General features: G+C 39.2%; 1 protein-coding gene and 1 long non-coding RNA gene across 3 annotated transcripts in view; both read left to right on the top strand.

Moving 5' to 3' along the window:
* Positions 1-26,319, top strand: part of PIR-FIGF (PIR-FIGF readthrough) — a 145,719-nt gene that overhangs the window by 72,311 nt on the left and 47,089 nt on the right. The window contains exons 6-8 of the long non-coding RNA NR_037859.2: positions 11,449-11,493; positions 11,617-11,869; positions 21,468-21,550. This is a non-coding gene — a long non-coding RNA (PIR-FIGF readthrough). The remainder of the gene's footprint in view (positions 1-11,448; positions 11,494-11,616; positions 11,870-21,467; positions 21,551-26,319) is intronic.
* Positions 1-26,319, top strand: part of PIR (pirin) — a 108,535-nt gene that overhangs the window by 74,335 nt on the left and 7,881 nt on the right. For both annotated transcript variants that reach the window (NM_001018109.3, NM_003662.4), the window contains exons 7-8: positions 11,449-11,493; positions 21,468-21,550. In NM_001018109.3, coding sequence (NP_001018119.1) covers positions 11,449-11,493; positions 21,468-21,550 — 128 coding nt within the window. The remainder of the gene's footprint in view (positions 1-11,448; positions 11,494-21,467; positions 21,551-26,319) is intronic.

The raw sequence follows: 26,319 nt of genomic DNA, 5'->3' as shown, positions 1-26,319 counted from the left end.
TTCGTTTATAATGTTTTGATTGTTTTGTTACTCATGGTAAAGGGATTTGACATGGATGTCTGGATTATGTTTGGCTTTTGGCATAAGCTTTGCAGTCTAACTAATTTAATGTTGACTTGGTTTTATCATTAACAGACTAATTGGATAGCAATAGAAGCATACACTGCTACCATCCTCTCCCTGATACTGGGAAAATGCATATATTCCAAGGGAAATCCAGTTAAGGGAGACTGAAAACGTTTCTCATGAATCAGACTAGGTTTTATCTGAGTTCCTTCCCATGAATACTATTTGAATCGATTTTTACCATCTCTTTATTTCCTTCAGGCTAGGCACGTTTCTCTTGGGTTGTGCTAATCTTGCAGAAAACAGATGTTTCATGCAGTGATGATTTGGAAGGCAGTTGATATCAGGAATTGAGCTGGACGGTGCATCACTTACAAAGAATCTAATTTGTCGAGTTTCTGACAGTACCAGATTCCTTTCACATTGGCCACACGTTTTTTATATTAGATCTTGGCTAAAATAAGAGTAAGTAGTTTTTTAATGGTGACTTTTACCATTTCTTGCAAGGCGCAAGGCAATCTGACTTTCCTTTTGCTGTAAACTGATTTACAGATAACACTGTTTGTTACCATTAATTATGAAGGACATAAATCTATATTTCTAGGAAAATATCAGTCTTTTCCAAGAAACATGTGCCTTCTTGTCCTCATGTCCCCCTTGTCTTCTGACTGACTGTATCACAGTTTGGCCCTCAACAGCCACTCTGTTTATTTTCCTCATTTCCTTTTACAGCACCTTTGCCTCTAGATACTTAAAGGCAGGATCTGGAATGTTAAAAATGGAGAGCTGTTATGGAAAAAACTTGATTTTATGAACCTTTTTGCTTTTCCTCACCTTATAACTTTTCCTTTACAGTATATGTAGATCAATAAACAAAATTTATTTAGAAACCATATAGTCTACCCCTCTGTGGTAGGCAAAATAATGTCCCCCCAAAGATGTCCACGTCCCAGTTTCCAGAATCTGTGTATATGTTATGTTCCATGGCAAAAACGACTTTGCAGATGTGACTAAGTTAATGCTGCTGAGATAGGGAGATTAGCCTGGATGATGCAGGTGGACCCTGTGTCATAAATGAGAATCTAAATAAGAGAAACAGGGAGACAGGGAGTCAGAGTGAGAGAAGGACATGTGACAATAGAAGCAGAGGTCAGAGTGATGTGATTACTGGTTTTGAAAATGGAAGGGCCCACAAGCCAAGGATTAGTGGCAACCTCTAGAAGTTGAAAAAGGCAAGAAAACAAATGTCCCCCTACAGCCTCCAGGAAGAATACAGTCCTGCTTGATTTTAGACCTATGAGGCTCATTTTGGGGCTTCTGACCTCAAGAACTGTAAGATAAAAATTTTTGTTACTTTAAAGCACTAAGTTTTAGAGTAATTTGTTATAGCAGCAATAGGAAACTGATACACCAATATATTTTTGCTTCTGTGTTTATGGGGAAAAAAAAGGAAAGGAGCTACATCTTCCTTGATTAAAAAGTAGATTTTAATGCCATACATACAGTAGCTACTTGGTAAGTCACATTAGTATACATTTAAATAAATCTTATTGTATTAATTATCTATATGCTGCATAACAAATTACCCCCAAAACTTTGTGCCTTAGAACAACATGTATTGTCTTGCAATGTCTCTCAACTTAGCTGTGTACTGTTACAAGGCCACGATCAAAGTGTCAGCCGGAGCTGGCGCTGCGGCTCACACCTGTAATCTTAATACTTTGGTAGGCTGAGGTGGGCAGATCACTCAAGGCCAAAAGTTTGTGACCAGTCTGGCCAACATGGCAAAACCCCATCTCTACTAAAAATACAAAAATTAGCCAGGCATGGTCGTGCGGGCCTATAGTCCCAGCTACTGGGGGTGGAGGGGGGCGGGGATTGGCTGAGGCATGAGAATTGCTTGAACCTGGGAGGTGGAGGTTGCAGTGAGCCAAGATCACCCACTTCACTCCAGCCTGGGTGGCAGAGCTAGACTCTGTCTCAGAAAAAAATAAATAAATAAAGTGTCATCTGGGACTGTGGTCATCTCAAGGCTTGACTGGGAAGGATGTGCTTCCAAGCTCACACTCATGTGGTTGCTGGCAGCATTCAGTTCCTCAAGGGTTGCTGGCTAGAGTCTGCTCTCTTGTTTTTGGCCACATGGGGCTCTATATAGGGCAACTCACAACATGGCCTCTGACTTCATCAGAAGGCACAAAGATGAGCAAGTTGGAAGCCAGAGACTTTATGTAACCTAATCTCAGAAGTGACATTGCATCAGTTTTGCTATATTCTACTGGTTAGACGCAAGACTCTAGCCACAGCCCATACTCAGAGAGAGGGAATTATATAGGGCAATACGGGAGGCAGGATCAGGCAGACGTCTTAGAGTCGACCTCCACACTTATGATCTTGGTTGAAAGTACCACACATTTTTCCATATGGTCAATGACTCGAAAACAAGTAGTGATTTTTTTTCTCTCTCTCATTTGTGACTTTTAAAAATGACTGGAGTAAACCTCGAAAAATGCGTAGTGATTTTTTCCACAGGCTTCTTGCCTGTTTTTTCATAGTCTTTCTCTACTTTTAAGGAGAATGCCCCAAACATGAATGATTCATGTAGAATTTTACATTTTGAGTCTTTTCATAGAACGCAAAAGCCGATTTAATTCATGAGTAATTTTTTTGCAGAGCTCTCTACTTCCCAGCAGTACATTAGACTATTCAATCACAGTTCCCTTCATACTTAGAATATATACATAACAGTTATGGATGTAAATCTATAGGTCTTCAGAACAGTGATTAACGTGAATCAGAGCCTGAAATATCAAATTATTCAGGAAGAAGTTTAACATCATTTTCCTTTGACTGGGTTGTCTTTTTCATATTGATTTGTAAGAGCTCTTTATATATTCTGAATACTAGTCATTGTCAGTTATTTGTGTTGCAAATGTCTTTCCTGCTTTTTTTTTTAACCTTTCTATACTATGTTTCTCTATTTTAATAAGTAAAAATGCCTTAAATGTATCAATTGGCTCCTTAATGATTAGTGCTTTCTGTGGCTTCTTTAATCATCTTTCCCTAACTCAAGATCATAAAAATGTACTCTCTACTATAAGTGCTTTGTTGTTTTGCCTTTCATATTGATACATTTATTTCACCTGGAATGGTTTTTTTAATTGTTTTTTAAATTGACTGATAAAATTGTACGTATTTATCTTGTACAACTTGATGTTTTGAAGTATTTATACACTGTGGAATGACTGAATTTAACTAATTAACATACATTACCTCACATAGTTATCATTTTTGTGATAAGAACACTTTATATTCCCTCTCTTAGCATTTTTCAAGAATACAATACATTGTTATTAACTGTAGTCACCATGTTGTACAATAGATCTCTTGAACTTATTTCTACTATTTAACTGAAATTTTGTATCCTTTGATGAAATTGGTTTTCATGTATGGTAAGATACAATTACATTTTTTAAAACATGGTTTGAAACAGAGGAAAAAATGGCAAAAATCCATGATGGAGAATGCCATGAACATTTTAAGGGGTTCACAGTTCACTGAATCATCATATAGTAATAACAATCATTATAGCTAACATTTATTAAATGCCTACTCTTTGCCAGAAACTGCTCTAAGAACCTTCCCTATCCTAAGAATTAACACCTGTAATCCTCACGACCCTGTGAGGTAAGGATTATGATTACCTCATTTTTCAGATGAGGAAACTGAGGTACAAAGAGATTAAGTAACTTACTCAATATCAATTAGTTAGTGAGTAATGGGACTGAGTTTCTGCTAGGACTCTTAACTGCCATCTTGTCCTGCACCAAACAAAAACATGGACCTTTAGTGAACAGTACTCTATTAGTAGTGTCTTGGGCATATTGGTAAATAAATCCAAGATTTTGTACATAGGTTAGAAAAACGACTATTCTTGAAAATTTTAAATGAGTAATATCATCTCATTGTGTTGTGTTTTTCTGTTATGTCACCTTTAGGAGAAAACAGGTTAAATTGATGATCAATGTAAACTAAAAACCTATTCTAAGAATTTAAATATGTTTCAATTTTGGCAGGGGTGTATTTTTTTTCATATTTTACAGGGGCTTTTAAAAAATATTTTTCTCAGGCTGGGCATGGTGGCTCACACTTGTAATCCACACACTTTGGGGGACTGAGGCCAGGAGTTCGAGACAAGCCTAGGCAACAAAGTGAGACTCTGTCTGTAATTTTGAAAAAAGGCCTCTTTCTCTTAAAAACAGTTAGGTGTCCAAATACATCCTGAAGTAATCTTAGGGTTATTTATGACTTTCCCTGCTAATTTCAGGTTTCTATTATTTTTTGAACATGTATTTAATCCTTAAAGTTCTGTATATTTCAGATCTTAATAGTCTATAAACGTGGCTTCAATCTAAGTTCGAATGCCTAAACTAGTTTCTGTTTTAGAGTGCTAAAATAGAATTTTATGATTATGTCTACATTATTTGAATTATTTTCTGATTTTTTTTCTGAGCAATTAAAAATCAGTTGTGAATACTGTGTGTCTGAAGAGGAGACAAGTTCTGTTCAAATAAAACCAAGAAATAGTAGTAGCATATATTACTTTAGTTAAAAACTTTATTAAATGTCTTGATGAGAAAACCTCAATGCATCATTGTGCACTTAGTCTCTAAAGAGCAGGATACAATTATTATGTGTCGATTTTAAACTTTTTTTAAAGAACAGGATAAGCTTCTAGGGCATTCTAATAAGCTTCTAGGGCATTCTAATACATTTGTAGTACTATTGTATTAGCAAGAAAATAATCAGCAGGGTTTGCCCTCCAGCGGGCTAGGCTTCATTCTGGGCATGCAGAAGGCTGTATTCTGAGTTTACATTCTAGAGAGCTTATATTGCTTATATATTTCTCATTCAAAATGTTAAATTTCATTTATTTCTTAGCTTTCCTGTTAGCTTCTGATGCAATGAGTGTTCAGTATTATGAATGTGGACCAAACCATAAGACAGGGTTCTCCTATAGGCTGCAATTGTGCTTACTTAAAATATGGGATCCTGAGGGATGGCTCTTAATGTTATATGCCCATGGCTTATAAACAGCCTGTAGTATGATCGTTCTGTAATGTATAAAGTGCATTCTGAGTCTATTTTATTCTGGAAAACTAACTGTCTCAAGTGTTTTGATGTGTATACCATTTTGTTATATAGTTTGGCATTTTATTATTGGTGTCACTCATCAAATTTGGTAAAACGGGCATTCTCATTTTTTTCCAATGGAATTCTCACAAGTTCAGGTAATAACCTATCTCTCAGATTGTGGAGTTACAAAGTTGACATTTCTTTATCTTGCTGTTTATATTCAGTTATAAGATGGGGGTTAAATGCCTATTCTTGGCAAGCTAGTAGATCTTACGGTGAGCTGTTACTTGCTGTATGATCAGACAACCCAACTTATGTCACCAATTCTAGTCTGCAGTGTTTGGTGGGACACAGACAGCATCCTTAATGCCATGAGGTTCTTGATGAGGACGTTTTGGGAGACGTCGCAAAAATGTAGACTTCTTTTGGGAAATGATGACCCTGCTGAGCTTTGCTCCGCAGTCGAAGAGACTAATTGGCTTGGTGTGAGGTGGGTGCAGCAGGGAGCTTAGGGCCATCTCCATAGCAATGACCCTTCTCTGGCCTGGGTCACAGCCTCATCAGAATTGTGTAACGTCTCCACATGCACAGATTTGAAGGAAAGTGGAAAAAGAAGAAAGGGGCAGGAAAATGAACTGATATTTGTTAAATACCTCCTAAGTGCCTGGCATTGTGTAGAGAAGATTAAAAACATATAACACACATATGTATGTACAGATGTATAAGGACATTTATATATGTTTATACAGACATACAATAGAAACAGTATGTTTGATGTTTCCTCATTAGACTGTGTTCATCACAACAGCTCTGTGTTATACGTATTCATTCCTTATTTTACAAACCAGCAAAGAGGCTTGAAGAGATGAAGAGTCTGGTCCTAGATCTCCCTGAGGGTGATGCACTGATGTTGAAACAGGAACTTTCTGCCTGTAATGGTGTGTGCTCATTTTTGTTGCTGTTTCATGGTTGCTTAGTTGGTTTGTTTTCCGTGGTTCTCCACAAAGCCTCCTTTAAGGTTTGCTGCTGCGCTTTGTTTCCCCACTCCCCAAGAGAGAGTTGCATGGATAGAATTAAATATGGAGGCGGGGCAGGCAGAGAGGCCATGATACTGGAGAAATGTAGGACCATATTGAGAAGAGTTTGTCTGTCAGAAGTTTGGGCTTGTCCTGGGAGAACAGGGAGCCATTGAAGGATTTTAAGTGGAGATTCTAAAAAGGTGCAATTTACGCGTGTAGAAAATGGATTGGCAGCAACCAGTTAGGGGACTTTTTTTCACCTGTATGGTTTTTATCTTAAAGAAAAGATAGATATGAAATAAGTATGGCAAACATATATGTTCATTATTTCATCCTTTGTGCTCTTCTGAATTAAAAATTAAAGTATTGAAAATAAATGAAAATTCTCTAAATCTGGGAGGGACAGGGATTAGCAAACAATTCAGTCTAACGAAGAAACATCAAATAAACCCAAACTGAGAGGCATTCTATAAAATAACTGGTCTGTACTTTTAATGAAAGAAAAAGACTGAGGAACTGTTTCAAATGAAAGAAGATTAGACATGACAACTAAGTGCAGCGTGTGATCGCAGGTTGGGTCCTGGCCTAGAAATTTATTTCTCCTTTTCCATAAAAAGCATTACTCAGATGACTGACACAATTTGAATATCCGTACATAGATAGTAGCATTGTATCAATGTTAATTTCATAATTTCCATAAGTGCACTATACTTTTGTAAGAAAATATCTTTGTTTTTAGGAAATACATACTGAAAATTATTTCAAGGTAAAGGGGCTACATGTCTGCAAATTACTCTCAAATAGTTCAGAAAAAAAAAGAATGACATATATTTATAGCAAGAAGAATGATAAAGCATATATGTTAACATGTTAGCTTTGGGGGAATCTAGGTGAATGGTGTACAATAATTCTCTGTAGTATTTTTGCAACTTTTTGATATGTCTGAAATTATTTTAAAATAAAAATTAAAAAGAATTTGGTGGAAGGAGGAGCGGGAGGGAAGAACCAGGCAGGTCTGCCTCTTGTCCTAGGAGGCCAGGGTTGAGGTCCTAGATGAAGGAGTTACCTGCCAAAGCTGATGTGGGGACTTCCGGTGGCGGGGGGGAGGTTGCGGGTATGGGAGGAGGATCTTAGGGACCAGGGTTGCTTTGCGGTCTGGCAATTATGTGATCCAGAGTTTGTGAAGGGTTGCAATCTCTCCTTAGCCCAGTTGCCCTTATCTCTGTTAATGGTGTTGGTGTGTCACCAGGCCGTGTTTTTCTATTTTTTCTGCACATACAGGTGTAAGGAATACTTGTAAGTTCATTGGAATAATGAACTCCAAGACTGAGGCAGAAGGAAAATGACCCGGGTTAAGGCAAGGAATGTAGGCTGAGGAAAGCTCTCACTAGGGACGTTTGCAAGAATTAGGAGCCTCTCTGGAAATGAGAGCAACTGCCACAGAAAATGATTTACATATTTTTTAAAAGTTTTGGGTTTTTAATGTTTGGCTAAAGGAGGTCTGACTTAAAATGCGTTGCTGACTTAACTGTCCTAGGAGGCCAGAACGAAAATGTGACCTCCCTCCCAGCTCATTTTATTCATCACTGCCCAAGGGAAGGGAAGAGCTTTTCAGCTGCAAAGAGACAGTAGCTTGCAGACCATATTTGTAGGAGAAAGGAAAATGTAGCAGGGTGTGAACTCTGACAAAGCAATAAAAATTGGGGGATGACATCAATTCTTGGTGCAGGACATAAAAGTGGGAGGAGAGGTGAGGGAAGAAAGAAAGATGAGAAGGACCTGAAAATCTGACAAGAGATCTCTTCTGTGGCTGTTGTTAAACATATAGTAAGCATTCATGAAATTTGGCATTTGTTTTCTTTTGCAGCAAGCTGAAGAAACAAAGCTTAGTGGAAATTAAACAAATTAACAGAAGCAAGTGCAGATGGGCATCATGCTAAAAAGAAAGAAAAAAGTAAATTGCCTTCATTTCTATTCCATGCCCTCTAACACTCTGTGCTTTCCAATCAGCAACATGAGTTGTGTTATTACTGGCAAAGATGGACACTATATCCTAGCAGAAGACTTTTACAAGGAGTAAAAATATATGAACACACTTAGTAAATTGACTTAGGCCATTCCTTTAAGCAAATGTTTGGTCCTTCCAGATCATGTAAAAAGATAAAAAAGGAAAAAAAACAGATCTAGGCAATTATTTGTGGACTAGATTTCTGCTTGAAGGGTGAACAGGAAGCAAAGCAGGTGGAGGAGAAATGAGATTAGAACAATCAAAATGAACTCAAATAAAAGCCTGGTTGAACTATTGAGAGTTTTGAGGTTTTGTCAAATGTGGTAACCACTTTTTAATACCTTTAAACCGTGAATAGAGGATTCGTTGTATAAATTATGACATGTCCTTACAATGGAATGCATGCAGTTTTTCCCAAGGATGAGTTACTTCTCTATGTTTTGACATGGAAAGGTATCCAAAATAGAATATTGAGTTAGTTCTAGTTTTTTTGTTTTGTTTTGTTTTGTTTTGTTTTTTTCCGAGACAGAGTCTTGCTCTGTCGCCCAGGCTGGAGTGCTGTGGCGAGATCTCGGCTCACTGCAACCTCTGCCTCCCAGGTTCAAGCAATTTTCCTGCTTCAGCCTCCCAAGTAGCTGGGATTACAGGCACGTGCCACCACGCCTGGCTAATTTTTGTATTCTTAGTAGAGACGGGGTTTCACCATGTTGGCCAGGCTGGTCTCGAACTCTTGACCTCGTGATCTGCTCGCCTTGGCCCTCCGAAGTGCTGGGATTACAGGCGTGAGTGACCGTGCCCAACCTGAGTTAGTTCTAGTTTTTAAGGAAATAACTTATAGTGCATAAAAGAAAAAAAAAACTGAAAACACAGATACCAAATTGCTAACAATATTTATGTCAGGGTAGGAATGAAGATTGCAGAAAGATTTTCAGTTTAGATGTCCCACACTTTCATATTCTTAAAATATTTTTAAATTAATGTGTTTTTTTATAATCAGAAAAAATGAAGCTATTGGTGCTCTGAAAAAGAAAAACAATTGTGGCGAAACTTTTGAAAAAGCAGAGAAGAAAGGGGTTTGGTTGTAGAGTATGATTACAAGTCAGGCTAAATAGAAGTAGAAAAGCTCAGCATTCATTAGAAAACAAAGAAAGAAGTGCTCCAGCAGAGCCAGCCCATCCAGATAAGACATGGGATCTGGCTGTAAATTATTAGTGTGTGTTTTCAGCATCTACCATGGACCTCCCCCCGCCAAAGGTGCACAATTTGCACACCCCGGCTATGCCTTATTCATTTTTGTATCTTCCTCTAAAGTACATGCCCATGGTAGATGTTCAGTAAATGATGGTAGACAAAGCTCGGAAGACTAAATATGAGTGGGTTAAGATGGGAGAAAAACGCCTGTAATCCCAGCACTTTGGGAGGCCGAGGCGGGTGGATCACGAGGTCAGGAGATCGAGACCATCCTGGCTAACATGGTGAAACCCCGTCTCTACTAAAAATACAAAAATTAGCTGGGCATGGTGGCGGGCGCCTGTAGTCCCAGCTACTCGGGAGGCTGAGGCGGGAGAATGGTGTGAACCCGGGAGGCGGAGCTTGCAGTGAGCGGAGATCGCACCACTGCACTCCAGCCTGGGCAACAGAGTGAGACTCCGTCTCAAAAAAAAAAAAAAAAAAAAAGGGAGAAAAACGAGTAAGCTATGAATAAGTAACATTACTTTCAGAGAGCTTAAACTCATTCTAGTAAAATCTCAGAGAGGAAAAACTGTGAAATAGGGGGATGGGAAAATATTCTCTGGCACTTGCTCATGTGTGTTTGTTTTGCCATCCTTCAGATTTTCTTAGTGAGACTTAATTTATGTTTTCTCAGTTATAGCTTTTCTTTTGTATCCAGTTGAACGTTTCAAGCCATCTGCCATGACAGTCATATCTTTGGAACATATTTTGGCCTCCTTGCTCCTTCTGCACTCGCCTTTGTTTACCCTGTCATCACGCTGACTCCTCCAGAGACTCCAGTGTGGGCTCTGTCCTTCCAGCATTGAACTGTGCCCTGCATTCTCTTTCCAGATCTCCTTTTCCACTGAAGGCACATGGAGGGATATCATGATTCCATTTCGACTGTGCCTTTTCTAGGTTCATATCTCTCAGTGGAAACACAGCATCTCTTCTGAGCCATGGGTACAATATATAAACATCTATGAAAATCAAGTGTTGGTGCTGAGAGTGCAAATAGCCTATTGTGAGTGATTTTGATTTCTTGGCCCCATGGGTCATGGTAGGAATCTGGTGAATTCTATATACTCTCTTTCCAGAAAAGTGTACACACTTGAAAAACTGTGAACAATTCCAGGGAGTTCACAGGCCATCCTGGAGCCCATTTATATCCCTAAGATTATGTATTCCTGCATCCCTGGAACTGATGCATATTCTGTTAGGATAGAATAAAAGAAGGAGTTCACTGGAACCAGAATGCAACTAGAATGCACTGGAACTAGAATGCAACTAAGTACAAAAAAGCAGGCCGGGTACGGTGGCTCACACCTGTAATCCCAGCACTTTGGGAGGTCAAGGCGGGCGGATCACCTGAGGTCAGGAGTTTGAGACCAGCCTGGCCAACATGGTGAAACCGCATCTCTACTAAATAATTTTATAAATACAAAAATTAGCCAGATGTGGTGGCGTGTGCCTGTAATCCCAGCTACTAGGAAGGCTGAGGCAGGAGAATCGCTTGAATCTGGGAGGCAGAGGTTGCAGTGAGCTGAGATGGCACCACTGCTCTCCAGCTCAAAAAAAAAAGCATATTTCTAGCATCAGCTTCACACTTCAGACACACTGGAGGCACAACAAATGGAAGATAAAGCCAGACTGGAGTGTTGCAGTTACTATCATAACATTACAACTGGAAGGAATAGTTTGTTTGGTAATACAGCTTGTAGCCTATAGATACACAGCCAAGTGAATTGTACACTGTACTTTGGGTGCTTCTTAAATATTTGGGACCAAGTCATTTAGGTTTAGGGGTATGTCTGTGTTTGTGTGTGAGAAAGAGAATGAGTGTCAGTGTATATTTTAAACAGTTCACAGAACTTAAATCTTAAAATGTCTATCTAAAGGGAAAAAAAGGATTTCGTCTCCAAATTTATCTTTGTGTTTGTAATACGTATATGTCTTTGTTCCTTTTGGCATTATGGACACTAACATGTTAATGTTGCTGGTCCTTTCCAGGGTGGACAAGCTTCATTTACACGATATCTGGAGATGTGTATATTGGTAAGTTATGGCTGTGTCACTTAGGGCTCAATTGCAATTTAATTTAAACTACTGAAGGGAGAAAAGGTAGGATGACACCATTTTATGTAATTGAATACTATGCCACCTTCTCTCCTACACTAGCCCTCTCTATATCCCAGCACAGGTATGCCCAGGGCAGGGTGCCTTTCAGCTTACAGAACATTCAGTGAGGGAAGAGAATATGAACACCAGTCATGACACATCCTGTGCACAGATGAAAGTCCAGGCACCATTATGTGTTTTGATACCTCGCTAAGACGTTGGCAACCTCCATACTGATAAAGGGATGGAGCTACAGTGGACTCCAAGGGGAGCAGGAATCTGCCTATCTCCTGGGAGAAGGAAATGGAAGGAGGTGAATTTGCAATGCTAGTTTCCTCTGAGAAAACTCAAAAGTGGCTTTTTTCTCTTCTTCCGAGGGTTGTATATATGTTGCTTGTTGAGTCTAATCAAGAAAAGATGTTTGAGACCTAACCAATGCTCATTTTATAGATGAGGAACGTGAAATCTAAGAAAGTTGTTTAACTTACCAGGGTTACGCATTGGTGGATGTGGGACCAGAATCAAGGTCTCCTCAATCCTGCTCTCCACGCTTCACCCCATACCTTTTGTCCAATGACAATGCAGAGATAGCACCATCTAACTTGTCTTTTCAAGTCTAAATCCCTTAGCGAACCCAGCAGCAGAAGGGACAGAGCGGGTGGGAGAGAGGGGCTTGCAGAGCAGCCTGGTTCCTGCCTGGGTCTCCTCCTCCCCTTCCCATCCTCCTAAAAGCAGCCATGGGTTCCCGTAAAAGGCTCTTGGTAGCACTGGGAGAAAACAGCTATAGCAGATGCTGTTGGTACCCCACCCACACCCCTGGGCCCTTACTTCCTGAGTGCCCACTGACCAACTAATAATAGCCAGTATCTGTGTCACTTTGCTTGAAGGCTTTTCTCTGAAACCAATCAGGGCAGCATGAAAGTACTGGAGAATTAACATTCCCAGAAGCTACCTCACCCATCAGACAGGATAACTCTGAAGCCTGTGTGAAAAGCCATTTACTAGTTTCCCAGTGGGATTACAGCCAAGCCACCTGAGTGTGCTTGATGACATACCCTTCGTTGTCTGTCTTCCCTTTTCTGTCTAACTCTCCTGACTCTGGACTGTTGTTTCCTGAGATCATCTCCCAGATAAATTCCTTGTACCAGAATATATGCATCTCCAGTTATACTTCTGAGACAGCTCAGAGAACCAGCCCCTCGTTTTCTCCTCCTCATCCCCACAGACGGTTATGGGTGGTGTGGATGGGGTGGGGCATCTCAGGGTACAGGCCAAGAATCCCCATTTCTGAGACCCTCTGCAGCTGGGTGCTCTCCACCCGCTCCTGCAGGGATGCCAGCACTGCACTTTCTGGGGCCCTAACATGGCCACCTCCTTGGGCAATACACTCCCAGCTCCAGGCAGCTGGCTGACAGATAACATCTGCTCAGGGATAGAAGGCCACACCCAGAGCTATTTAAACCATTCCTTTTATTCTCCAAAAAGGATGTTCAATTGCCTGAAATTATTCTTCTGGAAAATAATTGTAATGCAAACTCATGCATTTTGAATTTATTCCTAATAAAGTACAAATGGGCTTAGTTCCCTTTTCAGTGAATAGCATTTCAATTAGGGGTCAGGAGCAAAATTCATTTAGTTTAGCACTGGAGAAAGTGTGAAAAAAAGTCTTGTAGTAGTATCATAAGTTTATATGTACACAGCTTAAACTATATTAACCATCTGGAAGAGATGATATATCATTTGTTTTTATGATCTTCTGAAAATCCTGAGAAAAACATAGTGCTTTATAAAAATAGAAAAAAACATTTTTATGGAGGTAGTGCTCCCGACTTATGATTTCAAGAGCAACAAAATAATCTACACAAATGGAAATGAAGAAAGCACATGAATTTTAAGGTGGTAAGGATAACAGAAATGTTTGTGCAGAATGAGAAAAAGCAGGGAGAAGCAAACTTTCTGTAAAAGGACAGATCACAAATATTTTCATCTTTGCAAGGCATATAGTCTCAGTTGCAACTACTTAGCCCTGCCCGTGTCTCACAGAAGCGGCCACAGATGATACATAAACAAATTGGGTGGCTATTCCAATAAAACTTCATTTATGGTCACTGAAATGTGAATTTCATGTTTTTTCATGTGTCATGAAAGGCTTTTTTTAAGTTTGTTTCAACCATTTATAATAGTGAAAATTTTTCTTAGCCTGTGGGCTCTACCAAAGGTGACAGTTGATTTTGGTTTAAATGAATTGCAGGGAATGAAGGGGAAAGAAATTAACGAGTAATTGCCAAAACCTGTTTTAAGCAGTAGTTAGAGCCTTGTTTCCTGACAGACCTTTAGCCTGAGAAGTTAACAAGTGAAATGCTCTGCAGTTCTCGGGGTAAGAATGACCCACACATCCACTTGTTTTTCTTGAGATGAGGCAGGATTTTCCTGAGTCATTTCTATTTACTGACCTGGTCCCCCCTCGTGACCATGGGCCACAGTGCAAAACATCTGGCAAGGGATGGGTCTGTAGCCTTGGAGCAAAGTTGCATCTGTCTAGAATAAACTGGACTGTGAAGAGAATCCAGCTCACACAACTGGCCTCTTGGGACTGTGCTTTAACCAGTGAGTGGCTGGCTAAATGACCTCATTTGAATTTTATCTCCTTCCCTTCCTCCTACCAACACCCTAATGGGGGGGCGGTTAATGAGAAAAACAAAAGGGCAAGAACAAATCATCAGGGAAAAAGAAATGACGAAACAGAAATAGCTCTTGAATATGTACTGACTTATAAAATCAATAGAGAAAATCCAGAAAATGTTTTCTGACTTCACTGCCTCAATTTTGTCTTGCTTATAAAACTAGGTTGGCACCAACGAACCACAGATGGCAGGAAGTGATAAGCAAGGAATTGTCTTTTTCGAAATGTCAAACATGTTCAGTTGAAGTAGATGTAATGAATATATATATACTTGGTGTATCGGGCTGGAATAAATGGGCTGCAACTTGGGTTGAGGAAATAATCTGAGGAGACTGCATAAAATGGAAATTTAGGAGGGCTATTAAAATATTAACTGATTACAGGAAGTGCTTAAAAGACATTGATAAATTTAGTTTGACTACAAACAGGTGGAGTTTTGAACATTAGAAAATGCTCCACAGCCGGGCATGGTGGTTCACGCCTGTAATCCCAGCACTTTGGGAGGCTGAGGCAGGCAGATCACTTGAGGCTGGGAGTTTGAGACCAGCCTGGCCAACATGGTGAAACCCCTGTCTCCAGTAAAAATACAAAAATTAGCCGGGTGTGGTGATGCACGCCTGTAATTCCAGCTACACGGGAGGCCGAGGCAGGAGAATCACTTGAACCCGGAGAGCAGAGTTTCAGTGATCTGAGACTGTGCCACTGCATTCCAGCCTAGGCAACAGAGCGGGACTCTTGTCTAAAAAAAAGAAAAAAAAAAAAAAAAGAAAATGCTGGATGTTTAACTAGTTGTCAAAGTAAGTCAGTCATTTTAAAGGTAAAGGTAAGTATTGTGAGGCTATGTAATTGTCCTCTAATGACACCCTGAAGAAAAAGAGTTAACAGAGCTAAAATAAGACTAGTAGAATTCTCATTTTCTTATTCAAAGAAAGTATTCATTTGAGACTCATCTGAAAGTACTCACTTTATGCTTTTCAAGGATCTTCTTAATTTTTAATATATTTGCTTTTTCCAACAATGAAGAGCCTTCTAAACTGACTATTGAATAGTAATTTTAAAAAGTGTGCAATAGAGGGAGAGACCTTTGACAACAATCTTTTGCTAAGGCAAAAAGTTCTCTGACCAGCCCACAGCTGGAATCTGTGCATCATATGATAAAAAAAAAAAAGTCAAAAGAAAATAAAAAATACATTGTCAGAAAACCAGTAGATCCCACAGATACTAGTACCAAATCTCTTCCCTGCAGCTGTGCTGGAAATTACTTTACACATTAATGCAGAGATCAAAAGGATAGAAAAGTTTACATCCTGTATCCTTGTAGCTTGGTACAGTTTATCAGCTTGAATTCTAGTCCCCTAGAAGGCCTGATATCAAGTATACTGTTGGTGCTTAGAAAATATTTAGAAATCTAAAAACATTTGTTTGTGTTTAGTGAAATGAACTGGCTTACAAAGGCAGTAAAATGTTTTGAATTCATTTAAATAACTAATGATTCACGCTTAGTTTGTGCTAACGTTTTGAGCACAAACTTCTGTGCTCTGGTTTTGGGTGATATTAAGCAGTTTGAAACGGGCTCTGGATCTTGCAGTAAAGGCGGGGAAACACAAATGTGCACCAGCAGGCCTCATAATTGACCTCCATTTATCCAACTAACTGAATTGCCCAGTGCTCTTCATTCTATGGTGAATACTTTGAGGAAGGTGCTTGAACACCCAGGATGATCCGCTCCTCCCTGGTCTGCCTGCTCATAGCTGCTCCCATCAGCTGAGTTGTAGTGGACTTAAAGGCACCTATGTTTGTTCTCAGTCCATTTATGCTAGTTGCACCAATAATTGAAATTATGTAATTTAATTAAACAGTTGTAAATTAATTAAATAAATGTGAAAAGAGAGTTGGTATTTCCAGAACAACTAAGGCAGATGCTTTGTAAAAGTGAATTGCTAAAGGAAATGCCTTTGACACGGAAAGACAAACATCATATGTTCTCAGTTCTTTGTGGGATCTAAAGATCAAAACAATATGAACTCATGAACATAGAGAGTAGAAAGAAGGTTACCATGAGTTCATGAGGCTGGGAATGGTAGTTGGGGGCTGGGCAGGGGGAGGTGGGGATGGTTAATGGGTACAAAAAAATAGAAAGAATGAATAAGATCTACTATTTTACAACATGGTGACTATAGTGAATAATAACTTAATTGCAAATTTTAAAATAACTACAAGAGTGTAATTGGATTGTTTGTAACACAAAGTATAAATGCTTGAGGGGATGGATACTCCCCATGCTCCACGATGTGATTATTCTGCCTTGCATGCCTGAATCAAAACATCTCATATACCCCATAAATATATACACCTACTATGTTCCCACAAAAATTAAAAATTTAATAATAAGAAAATGCCTTTGAATTTGTGAAAGATTTGGGGAAACTCTAATAATCTAATGGGTGGTGCATTATGGGTATGCTTTTAAAAGAAAATGCTTCAATCAAGTCAGTAAACCCACCTTAACTGTATTTCTTTCTTTCTTTTTTTGCATTCAAGCACTCCTCCCACCTGTCTCCTGAGTAGCTGGGATGACAGGTGTGCACCACCACACCTAAAAATGTTTTGTACAGACAGGGTCTCCCTATGTTGCCTAGGCTGGTCTTGAACTCCTGGGCTCAAGCAATCCTCCTGCCTTGGCCTCCCAAATTGCTACAGGAGTATTTTTAAACATTTACAAACAAATGCACATTTATGCTTTCGTTTAAAATAAAATGTTTGAAGCAGTTTGACTGTCTTTTTCAATTAACAATCTCAATTGCATCAGATAAGAAGGCTTCAACTATACATATAAAATTGATAATATCAAACCTATGATAGAAGTACTAGAGTGTACGGAACAGAGAATAAATAGGACAGCAATTCTTATAAATAGAAAAAAAGGAAAAGAAAAATTGGCATTTGCAGAAAAGTTGTACAGCAATTAATCAGACACTGAAGATGCAGCACTAACTTTACAATAGGTTTTGAAGTATTTCACCCTTTTATGACTATTTAGGCAAAAAAATTGCAATTAAATTGTTTTCAGTTAATTTTTTCCTTAACTGTGCTATTAAATTTAACATTCTTGGCAGTGATTCCCAGTGGAAACTATTTGTTATCTGATTTGGCTCTATTTATCATTGAAAGTAGTCAGAAACAATAAGATATATTTTTTGAGACTTATTTTAGGTTCAGGAGATAACCAGATGGGCGAATAACATAAAAATGATCTGGAAATAAAGATAGAATCAATCTTTGCTTTCTGTGACCGTGACCCTGTTTTAAACATTTCATGTAATAATACAGAAGCTAAAAGTACACTTGCAGTTATTATTAACCTGGAACCCTGACTCCAGTGTCTATAAGAAAGGTTTACCTTGGTTAGGCGCAGTGGCTCATACCTGTAATCCCAGCACTTGGGGAGACTGAGGTGGGAGGATTGCTTGAGCCTAGGAGTTTGAGACCAGCCTGGGCAACATAATAAGATCCTGCCTCTACCAAAAAAAATTTTTTTAATTAGCTAGGCATGGTAGTGCATGCCTGTGGTCCCAGCTACTTGGGAGGTTGAGGTGGGAGGATCACTTAAGCCCCAGAGGTTGAGGCTGCAGTGAGCTGTGATTACACCACTGCACTTCACACTTGGCAACAGAGTAAGACTCTGTCTCAAAAGAAAATAAATAAATAAAAATAAAGATTTACAGCAGGGCGCGGTGGCTCACACCTGTAATCCCAGCACTTTGGGAGATCGAGGGGGCAGATCACGAGGTCAGGAGATCAAGACCATCCTGGCTAACATGGTGAAACCCCATCTCTATTAAAAATACAAAAAATTAGCCGGGCTTGGTGGCACATGCCTGTAGTCCCAGCTACTCAGGAGGCTGAGGCAGAATAATCGCGGGAGGCAGAGGTTGCAGTGAGCTGAGATTGCGCCACTGCACTCCAGTCTGGGCAACACAGAGAGACTCCATCTCAAAAATAAATAAATATATAAATAAATAAATAAATATTTACCTTAGAGTGGAGCATTTCAAATGACCTCTTTAGTATCAACACTGAGATTGCAAAGAGAATGGGCAGAAATTGCATCCCACATACAATTAGAGTTAGAGCCCCTTAGACAAGCTAAACTTTTTGTTGCTGAATTAAGATTTCCTCACAGACCAATGAACACCATAGTCAAGCAAGCTCCCCTGATAGGGGGTGCAGAGAAATACCAATTCAGCATTATTTTTGAGCACTCTTTTGCCAGCTCACTCCATTAAAACATAGCGAAGGGGTTTATAAACTGTTTTGGTATATGTATCACGAAACATCCTACATGACAAAATTATGGGCCAGGAGTGGACCACGTGGGTAATGGGTGTTATACATGAATTAGTTGAAGATAAAGACATGTTTCATTGCTCCCAGGGGATCTCAGTAAAGCACACTTAATGAAATGCTGCTCTGTATCACAGTTGAAAATATTACTCAACTCTAAATGAGATTTTTTTAAACTCCCAGACCTCTCTTCTATTGCCAAATCCCTGCATAAGTGGAAAATCAATGGAGTTCTATCATTTGTTTCCATGACGTTTGTTGACCTAAATCTTTGATGGAGGAGAAACCTTTAGTATTATGCTGGGGCTGGCTCTTGCTAGCTTGCAGGAGCTGATTGTGTGCCTTCCCTGGCCTCACATCAGTAGGTTGAAATTGGCCACAGTGGGAGTATTTACACCACAGATATTGGCACACACTACGGGAATCAGGTTAGTTCTCCCCTTTACTCCTGAAAGCCAACTGTTAAACATTATCCAGCACACTACTTCCTCTGGGACAGAAGTTGTTAATCTTTTTACTGCCATGGACCTTTCTGACATCTGTGAAGCCTCCTGCCTCCTCAAATAATGTTTTTAAAGTCAGTGCAGTTATGAAAATGTTAAAAGAACAGGTTTCGGATATAGCTATATGTGTGCTTCTTTAATGACATTTGACATAACATGATCTAGTAGCAGGCCTGCTCTAAATTTTAAGTAATAATTAACATAAACTATATTTTGAGATATCTACAAAACCATAATGTGATATGAAAATATCTATGATTTCTGCTGGAGACAAAGTCATCAGCCCAGCTAATACTACTGTGGCTTGTTGGCTACATTCATGATTGAAGGAGAAGATACGTTTCAATTTAGGTGTTAGTGAAAGTAAACATGTAATTTATCTCCTATCAAAGTCCACCCATGCCCTGAATTGTATCCATAGACCCCCCTTGGGAGGACATTGACTCCACGTTGAGAACTCCTGCTCTGTTAGAATCCTATTTCATGTTTGCAAGCATCAGAATGAACCCTGCTGCCTCATATTGGTTATTTCCAAAGTGGAGGTGAGAAGGTCTTCTCTAGAAAATATAGTTGTTTGGACTCCAACAAATATGTCCAAAATTCACAAATTATGTTTCTGTTTACATAATAATTGCTCAAGCTATTGTTTTCATTTAAATAAGCATTTCCTTATTGATTATTCAGCTCCAACTTGTCACATGAATGCCCTTATTTACATCCCAAAAGGGCATGCAGGTGTATCTCCCAAGACATTTTATGGGCTGCTCATTCAATTTGAAACCTTCTCTCTCCTGCCCATTAACATATCAGGGTTTTTCCCAACTGCAAGACCTAATCCAAATCTCACCCCCTCTCTACAGCCTTCTGTGGTGCACTTTGGCCTCTCCAGTCTGTAGCCTTCTCTTGCAGAACCACTCTTGCAATCTTCAAGTCACTACATTCTTCTGCTCCTAGTGAGAATCATGTTAGAATTTTCTCTCTCCAACTGTTGCCAAATCCTTTAGATTTCTTTTTCAACTCCACCTGTCAAATCCATCCCTATCTTTCTGTTGCCACTTTCTCAATTCAGAGTGTAATTCATTTTCACTTAGACTGTTACAGCAAACTCCTAACAGGTCATCCTAACTTCAGTGTTGTCCCCTCCAATTCACTCCACATTCTGCCATCATAGTCATTTCTCCAAGACACAGATCTGGTAATTTCACACACACACACACACACACACACACACACACACACACACCCTCCCTCCTCAAGGGCTGTCAATTTTATACAGATAAACATGGGTTTAAAGGCTTTCCCTGATCTGAAGACAGCTTACATTTCCATCGTTCTTCCCAAAAGACTGTTCCAAGAATGGTAGAATTTTCACTGCAATCTTTTCTCTTGTCTAGAATGCCCTTTCCCCCAGATTTCCCTCTTGTGGTTTATCTAATCCTACAGAGCTCTGTTCAAGTCTTACCTCCTCCACAACAAATATCTGTGGTCCCTAGACCTGCACAAGCCCCCATCACCCCTGTTCTCTTATTGAACTTTGCTTATGAATTTATCGTTGCCTTTAAGAGACACTTTCATTTGTATTATTTTATTTGTAAACCTCAGTATAGAAGAGATGGAAATGTATCTGTCCTGAATATTCCCACAACATTTAGAACAGGGTCTTTTTTTAATACTTTAAGTTCTAGGGTACATGTGCACAACATGCAGGTTTGTTACATAGGTATACACGTGCCATGTTGGTGTGCTGCACCGATTAACTCATCATTTACATTAGGTATATCTCCTAATGCTATCCCTCCCCCCTACCCCCACCCAAGGGTCTTATTCAGAGTTCAATAGCTATTATTCAATAGCTGTCCAACTTACTTATTTTTCAGTTGAATTATTCTCTGATTATTTTGTGTGTATAGATTTAGTTTGCTCCAGCAGGATTTTGAATTATTTCTATGAAAGGAATCTACTTTGCATGTCTCTGTATTGTCCCATAGTGCTAGGCAATTGTAGGTACTCAATTAATACTTGTGGAAATGAATTAATTATGGCATTTGATAATTTTTCTAACTATTTTTAATTCTTATAAACTTTATAATTTACCTAAGGAAACATGAGCACATAATGCCAAGGACTTTGCTTATCAATTAAAGTGTAAATGGAAACACACGCAGGATTCATCTCCTTGTCCTTTTTCAAAATTGAAAACAAACTAGTTTCAGGCTTTAATAATAGCAAATATAATTAACCAAGAGATTCAAGGGAATTACTAAGTCCATTATTTCTCAAATTAAAATAAATGTTGTGGTGCTATATAGTTAACCAAATAAGTAACCATATAACAAATGTACTATAATGGGTATTAAATTAGTGTGTCATTGGTTTTGTAGGGCCCGATGATGCACAACAAAAAATAGAACCTCATCACACAGCAGTGCTTGGAGAAGGTGACAGTGTCCAGGTGGAGAACAAGGTAAGTATGTTATTTTCCTTTAACTTTCTTAACATGTACTTTCTACTGGTTTCCAAGAAAATGCCTAAATGTTGTGGATAACTGAAAGTTTTTCTCTCTTCCTTGGAGAAGAAATTATACCAGAAGTTTATCATGTCTTTTCATTAATTTCTGCTATTTCTATGGGTTTATTTTAAAGTTTTATCTTTATTGATTCTTTATCTTCAGAAATCATATAAAGTCCCTATTGTTTACCCCTGGAAATTTGAATCTGGAAGCAACACATCTTTGTTGTCTCTTAATTTTCTTTCTTTATACAATTGATTTATTTTGTTTTTAGCATAAGTGAAAATAGATCAGCCCTATAGAAGTAGAAATATAAATCTACATGCATACTCACATAGAGCCCTTTGAAAAGAATCCCCACCTTGGCCGGGCGTGGTGGCTCACGCCTGTAATCGCAGCACTTTGGGAGGCCGAGGCGGGCGGATCACGATGTCAGGAAATCGAGACCATCCTGGCTAACACGGTGAAACCCCGTGTCCACTAAAAATACAAAAAATTAGCCGGACATGGTGGCAGGCGCCTGTGGTCCCAGCTACTCGGGAGGCTGAGGCAGAAGAATGGCGTGAACCCGGGAGGTGGAGCTTGCAGTGAGCCGAGATTGCGCCACTGCACTCCAGCTGGGCAACACAGTGAGACTCCGTCTCAAAAAAAAAAAAAAAAGAATCCCCACTTTGAACTGAGAGGAAGATAGGATGCATTTCATAGTCTTTTTGTGATGAATCCCTGCTCTTTAAGTAAAGTTTCTGATATTTTAGGAGTCTTGGGAGGTTTTTATTCCCAAATTTCCAGGTTTCTTTCTCATGTCTATTTCATTCCCTTGAGTAATTCAGTCACCATGTTGTGAGTCTGTTTAGTCAATCTGACTGCTTTATGTCATTCTTATAAAGAGGATTGAGGAGAAAATTGTGCAAAAGCTCCTGAAAAAAACAAACTTTGAAAACTATTTTAGTGTGTGGATGACTAGTGCCGAGGCAGTCGGACTGACTTCTGGCCTTCTGACCCTGCCTGTTGTTATAGAACACAGTGGATTTGAGGAGTTATTAGATCTTAGCCCACTTTTCTGGCAGCAATCTACTGCTGCTTTAATCATCTGCAGCACCACCATGAACTGTGAGGTAAACGGAAGAAAAACCTGATGAGCACTAGAAAAATGCATATGTCAGGGTCAGTGCCCTTTAATATTAGACTGAGCCATATGAAACTGCGACTTTTGACCGACAAAAATGTCTATTTTATATCTTTCAATCCAATACAGGAAAGAGGCATGAAAGCTACACATAGGCCAGAACCTACTAATATCAGAATGGTTTGTAACATTATCTGGTTTAACTTGGCAACCTCAGTTCTTCCTATAATACACAGAGAGCACATTGCAGATAAGGAGTTGGAAGCTAAAACAGAACACCAGAAAGAAGTGATGAAGGGAGTCAGAAGAACAGGTGCAGCCAACATAGAAAAGAGTCAGCTGAAACCATCAATTCACTGGCAAGCAGCACTCCTGGCTCCAGTGGCATCGTTCTGTTATGTGCAATTCTGTAATTGTTGCTGTGTATAAGCATAGCCTGAGCCATCAAAACCTTAGAAAGATTTCTATGAAAAAATTGATATTAAAAAATCAGCATTTAAAGGCAGCATGTGTCACTTATATCCACACAATAGTAGAAAGTCCCCTTTAGATTACAGCAGAAAAGAAATTCTGAAGGTTTGAATCTTGGCTTTACTGCTTGTTAGCTGTTGTGACTTTGGACACGTTTGTAAAGCCCTCTGAGCTTCAGTTTCTTTGTCTGCAAAATTAAAATAATACTGCCAACTGCAAGTGATTGTTAGAAAGAATATTTGAGATTACGTATATTACAAGTCTACTCCAGATTGAGCATGGGGGTCAGTAAATTATGTCCAATAGGCCAAATCCAAACCTTTTTCATAAAGTTTTATTGGACCACAGCCACACCCATTCGTTTCCATATTGTCTATAGGTTCTTTTATCCAATAACAGTGGAATTGAGTAGTTGTGACAAATAAAGCCTAAAACTCTCTGGCCCTTTACAGAAAAGGTTTGGTTTACTACGTTGTAGATGCTCAATAATGGTAACTGGAAAGTTTATGAATCCAAATATCTAATTTGATAGTCATACCACATGCATGTTACCTAATAAGGATTTATACAGTAGACCTGAAGGCTTAGGGCACATAACAGTTTCTACAGGTAGAAGAAGGCTCCAAGAGACCCTGACTCACTCACGCTCCAAGCCAGTGTTATCCTCACTTGAACCTAGCATTAGCCTGAGGATTTGATAAAGAAGGAAGATGTGACTGCCCAGTGCCGCGCCAATCCCATTTCCACTAAACTGTGGTCAAGAATGAGAAGCTGATTTTTTGCCTGGCTTTTTTTCTGGCTCTGTTCTTCCTGCACTTTTACTACTCTTCCTTTCTGTGTTCTCCACCATCACACCCATTTGACTACTGGTTGACCAGTAGTATGGGCAGTATCTCCTATAGTGGCCAATCTCCAGGACAGGAGAGGAGGACAAGGAAGGGATGATGCAAAAGACTACAGCTTCTTTCTGCCCCAGGTTTCCCTGTTCCATCTTAGAACTTTTTCAGAGTTCTTAGAGATTGGAATCAACTCCAGACTACTCTGGACATTTAATCCTGGACTGGTACCAGTCATCCCAGAATAGCTTCTGTTTCAAGGGCTAAGGCTTCCTGTGCTGCTTTGACCTACTGATGGTACTCTGGACTTTCTCTTAAGATGATGGTTTCCCTGATGGCTCCACGATCAGGAGTACTAGAGTTTGATATGAAAGGCTCCATCTCACCCTTAGGCTTATGTTTATAGTGGTATACTATTGAGAAGGTCTTAAGCCTCATGGATTAGCAAACTCACCCGTAGTGGACCAAGGAAGACAATCAATACCTCACTGGCTGTCATCAAAGCCATACTTCACTGTAACAGTGCTTTTTAACTGGCACTATTCATGGAAAACTCATTAATATAATAAAGATTAACATTTGACTATATATAGCATTTGATTAAAATAAACATTGAAAGACAGAAATAAAACAAAACATCCTGTTAAAACTAGAGAAAACTTTTTTGCTTGTTTAGTGTAAAAGTTCATGATGAAATAAACCACTAAATTTTTAAGCTGATAACAGTTACTTGTTTGATCTTTTCATTGGCCCAAGAAGTATAAACAATGAAGTCTGGTAGGAACAAATGCATGCAATAAGTCATGCTAAAGCACAGTTTCTTTCTGGTAATTTTTTTCAGGTAATATATCACTATAATCAATGTTATTGATGCAAAAACATGCCCTTCGATCAGCAGTCCCCAACCTTTTTGGCATCAGGGACCAATTTCTTGGAAGACAATTTTTCCTCAGATGGGGGTGGCTGGGAATGGTTTGGGGATGCTTCAAGCGCATTACCTTTATTGTGTACTTTATTTCTATTATTATTACATTGTAATATATAATGAAATAATTCTATAACTCACCATAATGTAGAATCAGTAGGAGCCCTGAATTTGTTTTCCTGCAACTAGATGGTCCCATCCGGGGTTGATGGGAGACAGTGACAGAAATAATTCTATAACTCACCATAATGTAGAATCAGTAGGAGCCCTGAATTTGTTTTCCTGCAACTAGATGGTCCCATCCGGGGTTGATGGGAGACAGTGACAGATCATTAGGCATTAGATTCTCATAAGGAGTTTGCAAACTAGGTCCTTCACATGTGCAGTTCACAACAGGATTTGTGCTCCTATGAGAATCCAGCACCACTGCTGATCTGACAGGAGGCAGAGCTGGGGTGGTAATTCGAGCAGTGGGGAGTGGCTGTACATACAGATGAAGCTTCACTACCTCACCTGCCACTCACCTGTTGTGCAGCCCAGTTCCTAACAGACCACCAATTGGTACTGGTCCATGGCCTGGGGGTTGGGGACCCATGCCTTAGATTCATACTCAGAGTCCTACTGCCATCTTGAGTTTTATATTTATAGTTGATCAAACTGAGTAGCTACTCATAGTTTAGAAGTTATCAACATATTAAGTGAACCATAAAACTTTCATCTGGGCTTTGATCATTTATTGTTGGTATCAGCAGAACTCGAGACATATCTTGGCAAAAATACTTATGGAATAACAAGAGCAACTTAAAAAAGTAAATTATTAAGTAAACCCAGAAGAGCTTAACTCTGTACCAGAAACTCTGAAAAGGTGCACCAAAGCAAAAGACATGGTGCCAAAAGATGGTGAACGTTAGTTGGGGTGAAGTAGTAAGTGGACCTCTGCTACTTTTGTATGGGTTTTTAAAATCAAATCCCATAAAGGCATTTAGAACCATGCAAGGACTTGGGTTTTAAATGGGTATTTAATTCTCTTGGCTTTTGCATGATTTTCATCATTTGACACCATAGACAAAGTCATCATAGACAAGGACTTTTCAAGATAACAGCAACTGAGACTTTCAGCCACATCATCACTGTATTTTCTGGAATATCTGGAAAGATGATTAGATTTCACCAAAGAAGGCAAGTTAAGGAAAGAAAATGTCATCTAGGTTCATGTTTGCATATTTTGACAGCTAGTTGGGTTATGGATAAGTAAAGTGATGGTACATAAATAAATATAGGCCTTGCAATGGTTAAACAGAGACTTTTTAAAATGTAAAGAAGTGATCAAAACATCAGCTTTGATTTAAAAAGTATTAAATGACCC

This window comes from Homo sapiens, chromosome X, assembly GCF_000001405.40.
Source record: "Homo sapiens chromosome X, GRCh38.p14 Primary Assembly".
In the NCBI taxonomy this organism is placed as follows: Eukaryota; Metazoa; Chordata; class Mammalia; order Primates; family Hominidae; genus Homo; species Homo sapiens.
This window is presented reverse-complemented; position numbering and strand designations above follow the sequence as displayed.